We start from the raw sequence: 9,985 nt of genomic DNA, 5'->3' as shown, positions 1-9,985 counted from the left end.
AGAAAGAAATATATAGAAATATATGGAAAGATATGGAAAGAAGATGGGACAAAAAGATCCCGTTAATAATAGACACCAAAAAAATGTCTGAAACCTAGGAACAAAATGTATGTGTGATGCCAACACAAAGCCAAATATTCACTGGAAGACATTTTAAAAACCTGAGTATATGAAAAGGTGTACCATGATCCCTGATAGGAAGACTCAATATTGGAAAGATGCCATTTTTACCCAAATATTTGATAAACTCAGTGTAATTCCAATCAAAATTACAATAGGATTTTTAATGAAATTGACATGTTAATTTTAAAATTCATCTGGAAGAATACATACTTAAGAAGAGGTGGGACTTTTTTTTTTTTTGAGACAAAGTCTTGCTCTGTCACCCAGGCTGGAGTACAGTGGTGCCATCTTGGCTCACTGCAACCTCCGCCTCCGGAGTTCAAGTGATTCTCCTGCCTCAGCCTCCCGAGTAGCTGGGATTACAGGTGCATGCCAACATGCCCAGCTAATTTTTGTATTTTTAGTAGAAGTGGGGTTCACCATGTTGGTCAGGCTGGTCTCAAACTCCTGAGCTCAAGCAATCCACTGGCCTCCGCCTCCCAAAATGCTGGGATTACAGGCATGAGCCACTGCGCCCGGCAGGGACGTTTTTTTAAGTACAATGAGGAACCTCATTCTACCAGGTATCAAAACATTTTATATAGGCGACTGCCACTGGCTAAAAATAAATAAGTAAATAAACAAACCATATTATACAACAACAGTAATTCGAGTATGGTATTGGCTCACAAACAGAAAAATAGATAAATGAAAGAGAATAGATCATCAGCTACTGGCACAAGCACGTGTGGAAACATTTCAAACGATTGAGAATGGGTGTCGGGACAACTGATTATGCATTTAAGAAAATAAGATATATCTGGCAACATGACAAAACTCCATCTCTACAAAAAAGATACAAAAATTAGCCGGTCATGGGGGCACACACCTTTAGTCCCAGCTACCCAGGAGGCTGAGGTAGGAGGATCACTTGAGTCCAGGAGGCAGAGGTTGCAGTGAGCTGAGATCACTCCAGCCTGGGTGACAGAACAAGACCCTGTCTCAAAAAAAAAAAAAAAAAAAAAAAAAAATATATATATATATATGTATATATATGTATCTTTTACGTCACACCATTCAAAAATAAACTCCTTCTTCCCGGTGACTGGTATGGACCAAGTTCTGAAGCAGCGAGCAGGGTGAGGCCAATGTGGCTGGGAATGCATAGCTGGAGGCACACAGGAGGCAGACAGCATGGCAGGGACATTTGTTATTTACAAGGGTATTGAGAAAATTAGGAAATATATTGAGGATGGTGCGAATGGGTTTCTCTGTGTTGGAGAAGGGTGAAGCCTAAAATGAACCTTATGATGCTGGGTTGGAGAAATCAGTGTGTTTTGTATGTCTACTTCCTGGTTTTGATGCTTGTGCTGAGTTTAGGTAAGATAATGCCCTTGTATTTAGGAAATATGAGTTAAGGGCTTCATGTCCTCAATTGCTCTCAAATGCATCCAAAAAAATATCTAATACGTATATAGTGTACAGGTAGGGTGGAGGAGAGAGAAGAGATGAAGCAAATGTGATGAAATAACAATTGGGGGATCAAGTGAAGACTTTATGGGAGTTCATTGTGCCATTCTTGCAACTTTTCTGTAAGTTTGAAATTATTTCAAAATATAAAGTTTGAAAAATAAACTCCAGATGTATCAAAAATTTAAATAATTTTACTTCTTGGAACCTATCCCCCAAAATACTCTAACATATACACGAATATATTATATATGTATAAGAGTCCTTATTTCAACATTCTTGATCATCAAGAAAAGTTAGATATATAGGAATATGCTTCAATAGGAAATGGTTTGATAAATTGTAGAATGTTTATACCATGGAATGTTATGTAGGCCTTAAAAAGAATGGCTGGGCGCGGTGGCTCACGTCTGTAATCCCAGCACTTTGGGAGGCCGAGGCGGGTGGATCACGAGGTCAGGAGTTCAAAAGCAGCCTGGCCAGTATGGTGAAACCCCGTCTCTACTACAAATACAAAAATTAGCCGGGCTTGGTGGCACATGCCTATAATCGCAGCTACTCGGGAGGCTGAGGCAGGAGAATCGCTTGAACCCAGGAGGTGGAGGTTGCAGTGAGCCAAGATCATCATGCCACTGCACTTCAGCCTGGGTGATAGAGCGAGACTCTGTCTCAAAAAAAAAAAAAAAAAGAATAAAGTAGATGAGGCACAGTGGATCATACCTGTAATTTTAACACTTTGGGAGGCTGAGGCAGGAGGATTGCTTGATCCCAGGAGTTTGAGACCACCCTGGACAACACAATGAGAGCCCATCTCTATAAGAAATTTTTAAAAATTAGCTGGATCTGGTGTGCACACCTGTAGTCCTAACTACTCAGGAGGCTGAGGTGGGAGGATCACTTGAGCCCAGGAGGTTGAGGCTGCAGTGAGCTGTGATTGCGCCACAGCATTCCAGCTCTAACCTGGGCAACAGAGCAAGATCCTGTCTCTAAATAAATAAATAAATAAATAAATAAACAGAATAAGGTAGATTTATATGTTCTGACATGGAAAGATCTTGAAGATATAGTTAAATGCAAAAACAAGTGGACCAATAGAGTATGATATCATTTATGTTTTTTTTAAGTTTAAAAAACTGCTATGGGGTAGCATGTGTGTGCACATACATGTGTATCTGTGCTTACAGACACATAGAAAATGGTCTGAAAGAACATACATTAAGAATCTACTGAGCTTGCATGTGTTGGGGGTGGGACCCGTGGCTTCCCCCTGTGCCTCCAGGCCACCGAGGTCTGCATCTGCCCTGTGGAGTTCAACCCCCACTTCGTGGCACCTATGATACCCAAGGTGGAGTGGGCGGTGTTCCTGGAGGTGGCTGATAACTTGCACCTGACCCAGGTGCTAAAGGGCCGGTTGAGGGATATGAGGAGAACGAAGAGTTTCTGAGGACCATGCACCTCCTGCTGCTGGAGGTGGAAGTGATGGGGGGCACCTTGCAGTGCCCAGAGTCTGGATGTATGTTCTCAATCAGCCACAGGATCCCCAACATGCTGCTGAGTGAAGAGGAAACTGAGAGTTGATTGTGCCAGGCACCAGTTTTTCTTGTTATGACCGTGTGTATTTTTGTTGATGTATACCATTTCCGAATTCTGCCACTTGTATCCCTAACCCTTGACCCAATGACACACCAAACAGTGTTCTTGAGCTCAATAGTATATATATATTTTTCTCATTAAAGGTTCAAAACAAAAAACAAAAAAAGAACACACCTTAAACTGTTAGCAATGGTTAACTCTAGAGAAGGAGAATGGTACTACTCTTTCCGATTTTTCCATAGTGGCCACGTAATCTTTTAATTACCAGTTGAAAAACAGCCTAAGTACAAAAAGGCAGGAATATGTACACTACATTTTCAAAAGATTTCCTCTCAAGTTGATTACGATATTTAATGTTGGGAGTTATCTTTATATACCTGGAAAATTCCTAGTCCAGATCCCACATATAGGGAATTGGCCTTCCAATGGACTGTGCCCGGGTGCACCTTATCTTTCACTTAACAGAGGATTAGGCAGCCTGCTGAGCCACTCCCTACTTGCTGGGCAACAGTCCAGGAGTGAATTCCCTTGCAGCTTTCCAAAAGGAGGTCAAACAAGTCCTCAGGGACTCTCAATGGAAAGAAGTTGCCAAAGGCTAAATTTGGCATTGAAGTCAGGCCCTGGACTGGGATAAACTTGTGCCAGCACTTTTCACTTATGCTTTCAAGACCTTGATCAGAATAGGCAGAACTAGACAGCTCTTTCCAAGAGCAGCTTAGCAGCTCAAACTGGAAAAGCTTACCCAAGCCAGAGTTTTGGAGTGAACCTGAAAATGTAAAATTCTTTCTCTGCCTCCTTGACTCCTACTATCTCTTATTTGAAGGGATAATTCCTGCCAACCTGATCGGAGCCCCATTTTAGCCCTACTCAAGACAGAAAAGAAAGGCTGGCATAGTTTTATTTCCCCCACCCCGACCACCTACTCCCTGGTTTTTTAGGTATAACTGACCAGTTTTGCATTTAATTTGTCTTGTTTGGTCTTGTCTTTTCATACAATATTTTATTGAATTGTGATTCACATACCATAAGAACAATCATTTAAAGTATATAATTCAGTGATTTTTAGTATATTCACAGAGCTGTGTAACTGCTGTCACAATAGATTTTAGAGCATTTTCATCACCCCAAAAAGACATGTTTTACCCATTAATGGTCACTTCCCATTTCCGCCTCCTACCCCTAGGCAACTACTAATGTACATTCTAGCTCTATAGCTTTGCCTATGCTGGACATTTAATATCAATAAAATGATTCAATATGTGGTTCTTTGTGTGTGGCTTCTTTCACTGAGTATAGTGTTCTTGAGTTTCCTCTGCATTGTAACATGTGTCAGTACTCCATTCCTTTTTGTGGCTATATAATATTCCATTGTATATCTATATCACATTTTATTTATTCATTTATCAGTTGACCGACATTTGAGTTGTTTCCACTTTTGGGCTATTTCAAATAATGCTACTATGAACATTTGCATCCAAGTTTTTGTGTGGACATACATTTTCAATTCTCTTGGGTATATACTTAGAATTGCTGGGACATATGGTAACTGTATTTAACTTTTTGAGGCACTGCCAAGTTGTTTTCCAAAGCAGCTGCACAAGTTTGCATTCCCATCAGCAATGTATGACACTTCCAATTTCTCCACATCCTCGCCAACACTTGATATTCTCTGTCCTTTTGATTATAGCTCTCCTATCGGGTATAAAGTAGTATTTCTTTGTGGTTTTGATTTGCATTTCCCAAATGATGTTGAACATATTTTCTTTCAATCTCTGGTAAATAAGAGAATGTATTTTCATGTGCTTATTGACCATTTGTATGTTTTCTATTTTTTATTCTAGGTGACTGTTTTCTTAATTTTGTTTTCAGATTTTTCATCAGTAGTGCATAGAAATACAATTGCTTTTGTACACTAATTTTGTATCTTCCAACCTTGCTGAACTTGTTAGCTCAATAGTTGTTTTTGTTTTGTTTTTGAGTCTGATCATCTTGATGAAAAATGTTGCTCAGCCAGGATGAGCCCTCAGCTGCCGTGTCCTACCAGATCTGCTTTTCCCTACTCATTACCCGCTTTCTGTTATTTCTAGGAGGGAAGGCTTAGTGCATTTCTTTTGAAACTTTGCCTGCCCCTGACCTGCCTTTCTCTAATCTGTGGCAGGTGTTTCTTTGGCTACTAATCCTATGTAACTAAAGTTTTTGCCACCACTTACTGTAATGCAGAAACTGGTAATACTGTTTGCTAGGGAACAAAGACTGCAATAAATTCCTCATCTGCTAATCTTCATAAATATCATTTCATGCATCTGTTCATTTACTGCAATTTCTACCAATAAAACCTAGGGTTTATGTGGTCTGGTGTTGGTGTCACTGCACCAATATGATGTTTATCATTATTGTCAACAAGTGCTATCTTAGTTCATTCAGGCTGCTATAACAAAATACTATAAACTGGGTAAATTATAAATAGCAGAAATGTATTTCTCATTAATCTAGAGGCTGGGAAGTCCAAAATCAAGGTGCCAGCAGATTTTACGTCTGGTGAGGGCTTGTTGTCTGGTTCAAGGATGGAAACTTCTTGCTCTGTCTTCACATGGTAGAAGAAGTAAGGGTCCTCTCTAGAGTCTTTTGTAAGGGCAAGAATTCCATTCACAAGGGCTCTGCCCTCATGACCTAATCACCTTCCAAAGTCCCCACCTCCTGATACTCTCACCTTGGGGGTTAGGATTTCAACATAGGAATTTTGGGGGAACACAAATATTCAGACCATAGCAAGCCACAAAGAGGGGAGATCCCAAAGAGGATTCCACCACTTCAGACCATGGAGTAACCACAGATGCAAATATTCCATACCAGCAGAAGAAAGTGAACCAGGGGTAATCTGGGAATATGCCATCAAGCTACCCTCCACTAAGCCAAAGATGAATTATGTAGTAATTGTTACTATAAAACATAGTATTTTAAATTGCCATCTAAATAAAGTATGATGCAGCCATCAAAAAGAATAAGGGGGCTCGGTGCAGTGGCTCACGCCTGTAATCCCAGTACTTTGGCAGGCCAAGGTGGGCAGATCACTTGAGGTCAGGAGTTCGAGACCAGCCTGGCCAACCTGGTGAAACTCCGTCTCTACTAAAAATACAAAAAACAAAAAAAATATAGCCCGGCATTGTGGCGCACACCTGTAATCTCAGCTACATGGTAGGCTGAGGCACGAGAATAGCTTGAACCTGGGAGGCAGAGATTATAGTGAGCCGAGATTGCACCAGTGCACTCTAGCCTGGGCAACAGAGCAAGACTCTGGAAGAAGAAGGAGAAGGAGAAGAAGAAGACATGTTATATAAAACAATTTTCAAGATACAGTATTTTGTAAAAAAGAAAATTATAGAAGTCTGTGTTGTATTAGTTTTCTACTGCTACTATAAAAAATTAACACTAACTTAGTGGCTTAAAACTACACAAATGTATTGTCTTATAATTCTGTAGGTCAGAATCTAGTATGAGTCTCACTGGGCTAAAAATCAAGGTGTCAGTAGGACTGTGATCCTTGCTGGAGGCTTCCTTGCCCATTCAGATGTTGGCACGATTCAGTTCCATGCAGTTGTAGGATTGAGGCCTCAGTTTTCTTGAGAGCTTTCAGCTTGGTGGAGGTGAAAGTTTTGAGGGCTTCTCTCTTAGCTCCCAGAGGCCTCTCTCTGGTCCTTGGATACAGTCTCCCATATTTCAAAACTAACAACCAGGCATCCAATCCTTTCACACCGCCATCTCTCTAACTCTTCTTCTGATGTCACAGCTGGGACTTTTAAGGACTCATGTGATTAGACTTGACCCATCCAGAAAATCCTGGCAAGGAAATAGGGGAGACTGCAGAGTGATGGTTAATGGGTAAGGGATTTCTTTTTTGGGTGACAAAACATTTTGGAATTAGATAGTGGTGATGGTTGTATAACTGAATATACCAAAAGCCACTGAATATACTAAAAAGGTGGATTTTATGGTATGTTAATTATATCTCAATTTTTAAAAGTATTAAACACCAGTTGCAGCCGGGCACAGTGGCTCACGCCTGTAATTCCAGCATTTTGGGAGGCTGAGATGGGCAGATCACTTGAGGTCACGAGTTCGAGACCAGCCTGGCCAACATGGTGAAAATCCATCTCTACTAAAATATACAAAATAGTTGGACATGGTGGTGCATGCCTGTAGTCCCAGCTACTTGGGAGGCTGAGGCAGGAGGAGGCAGAGGTTGCAGTGAGCCGAGGTTGCACCTCTGCTCTCCAGCCTGGGCGACAGAGCCAGACTCTGTCTCAAAAAAACAAAACAGAAAACAAAAACCATTTGCATATATTTATTTTAGAGACAGGATTTCACTCTGTCACCAGGCTGGAGTGCAGTAGGGTGCAATCATAGTTCATTGCAGCCTCAAACTCCTGGGCTTAAGCAATCCTCCCACCTCAGCCTCCAAGTAGCTGGGACTACAGGCATGCACCATCATGCCTGGCTAATTTTTGTTTTAGAGTCAGTCTTGCTATGTTGCCCAGGCTTGTCCTGAACTCTTAGCTTCAAGCAATCCTCCTGCCTCAGCCTCCCAAAGTCCTGGGATTACAAACATGAGCCACCGCACCTGACTGAAAACTGTTTTTAAAAGTGTAAGCTGATCTACTAAGTTCAAATATAATGTCATCATTTCATTTGGGTTCAATAATTTTTAAATGGCATTGGTAGATACTGAGATTACAAAGATGAAAAGACTTTGTCTCTGCCTTTCAAGAGCCCAAAGTCTAAAAGTGGGGGGAATCACACAAAGACTTCATTTTAATTAAACTTTGTTAGGACTAAGAGAGAGGTGTTCTTTGGGATCACAAGGGCCATACTAGGAAGACTGGGCTTTATTTTAAAAGCAGTCGGCCAGGCGTGGTGGCTCATGCCTATAATCCCAGCACTTTGGGAGGCCGAGGCGTTTGGATCATTTGAGGTCATGAGTTCGAGACCAGTCTGGCTAATATGGTGAAACCCCGTCTCTACTAAAAATACAAAAATTAGCTGCGTGTGGTGGCACACGCCTATAATCTCAGCTACTCGGGAGGCTGAGGCGGGAGAATTGCTTGAACCCAGGAGGCGGAGGTTGCAGTGAGCCGAGATCACGCCACTACACTCCAGCCTGGGCGACAGAGCAAGACTCTGTCTCAAAAACAAAACAAAACAAACAAAAACAAAGAAACAAACAAACAAAAAACAGTCTCTATTGGGAACCATGGAAGGTTTTTAAACTGGGGATTGACATGATTAGTTTGTGTTTTAGACATATCATCCTGGAAGCTGTTTAGAAGACTGATGTGAAGGCAGCAGGGCTAGTATCAGAGAGATGAGTGAGGAGACAGTTGTAGTAGTTTGGGTGAGAAATGATAGAAGCTTGAATGAAAAGCAGTGGTGATAAGAATGGAGAAGAGGAGGTCAGATTCAATAAATATTTGATAGATAAAACTGTAGGACTTAGTGTGATGAGGAATGAGGAAGCTGGAGAAGTCTAGGATGGCTCGCAGATTTCTAGCTTGGATCGCTGGGTGGATGGTGGTGCCATTAACTGAGAAAAGGAATATAGGAAGAGGTTTGCAGGCTGAAATGAAGAGGTAGTTTTGGATAATACTTAGGTATAAGGCACCTGGAAAAGGATGGAGAGGATGTGCCCAGCAATCAATGTAACTTTGATCAAGCTATTTAACCTCTCTCTGCCGCAGTTTCCTGATTTATAAAATGGCAGCATTGTAACAAGGGCTAACAATAATAAATATATTCGGCCGGGCACAGTGGCTCACACCTGTAATCCCAGCACTTTGGGAGGCCAAGACAGGTGGATCATGAGGTTAGGAGTTCAAGACCAGCCTGGTCAACATGGTGAAACCCCGTCTCTACTAAAAATACAAAAATCATCTGGGCATGGTGGCATGTGCTTGTAGTCCCAGCTACTTGGGAGGCTGAAGCAGGAGAATTGCTTGAACCGGGGAGGTGGAGGTTGCAGTGAGCCGAGATTGCGCCACTGTACTCCAGCCTGGGCAACAGAGCAAGACTCCATCTCAAAAAAAAAAAATTAAAAATAAATAAATAAATAAATAAATTCATATTTATATGTGTAAATTTTTCCCCAAATTCAAGCATTTGGGATTTTTCACCTAATTTACTTTGGGGAAGTTGCAAACTATATTAACTGTTTATTAAATATGTATCTAGCTCTCTATAAGAAGACTTGCCGAGTGGTATTGGAGGCATATTTAAATTTATAAGTGCAGCTTTATGTAAGCCAACTCAATGAAAATACAGAAGTAAAAGAAAGATCAGATAGTGATAATCTGCTGCCACAAAAGACTCAGAATAAGATTCTTTTAATTAGACATTCCTCCTGGTGAATATAAGCCAATTTACTTTGGAGAAATTAGACTTACATAAATTTCAAAAATAAAGATAGCTAACTTTTATTTTTTTCATACTGCATCCTAATTAATATTTTTTTTTATCCTCACAACAATTTTATTGTGGTAGATACTATTAGCCTTCTCATTTTAGGTTAATAGTATCTACCGCAATAAAGAAACAGAGGCTAAGAGAGGTTGAGTAGCATAACCAAAACCATTAATCAGGTAAGCAATAAGCCAGGACTCAAACCCAGTCCTCTCTGACTACAACCAAGAGCTGTTGTTATATATAGAGCCATGTACTCTGATTGTATATAAAGCTGTGGTTAAATCAATTTAATGATCAAAATAATCATCTGGTCTGATTTATGTGGAAATTATTGACCCTTCACTATTGCTTTCATATTCCTCTTCCT

General features: G+C 40.7%; 1 non-coding gene and 1 pseudogene across 1 annotated transcript; one reads left to right on the top strand and one right to left on the bottom strand.

Annotated features, from left to right (window-relative positions):
• Nucleotides 2,793–3,322, top strand: TRMT112P3 (tRNA methyltransferase subunit 11-2 pseudogene 3; annotated as a pseudogene).
• Nucleotides 9,669–9,766, bottom strand: MIR633 (microRNA 633). The gene has a single exon (NR_030363.1). It is a non-coding gene; the product is annotated as a microRNA 633 (primary transcript).
• Nucleotides 9,767–9,985: the final 219 nt, after the last annotated feature.

Source organism: Homo sapiens, chromosome 17, assembly GCF_000001405.40.
Source record: "Homo sapiens chromosome 17, GRCh38.p14 Primary Assembly".
In the NCBI taxonomy this organism is placed as follows: domain Eukaryota; kingdom Metazoa; phylum Chordata; class Mammalia; order Primates; family Hominidae; genus Homo; species Homo sapiens.
Note: the sequence above shows the minus strand (reverse complement) of the source record. Positions and strands in the feature narration are given on the sequence as shown.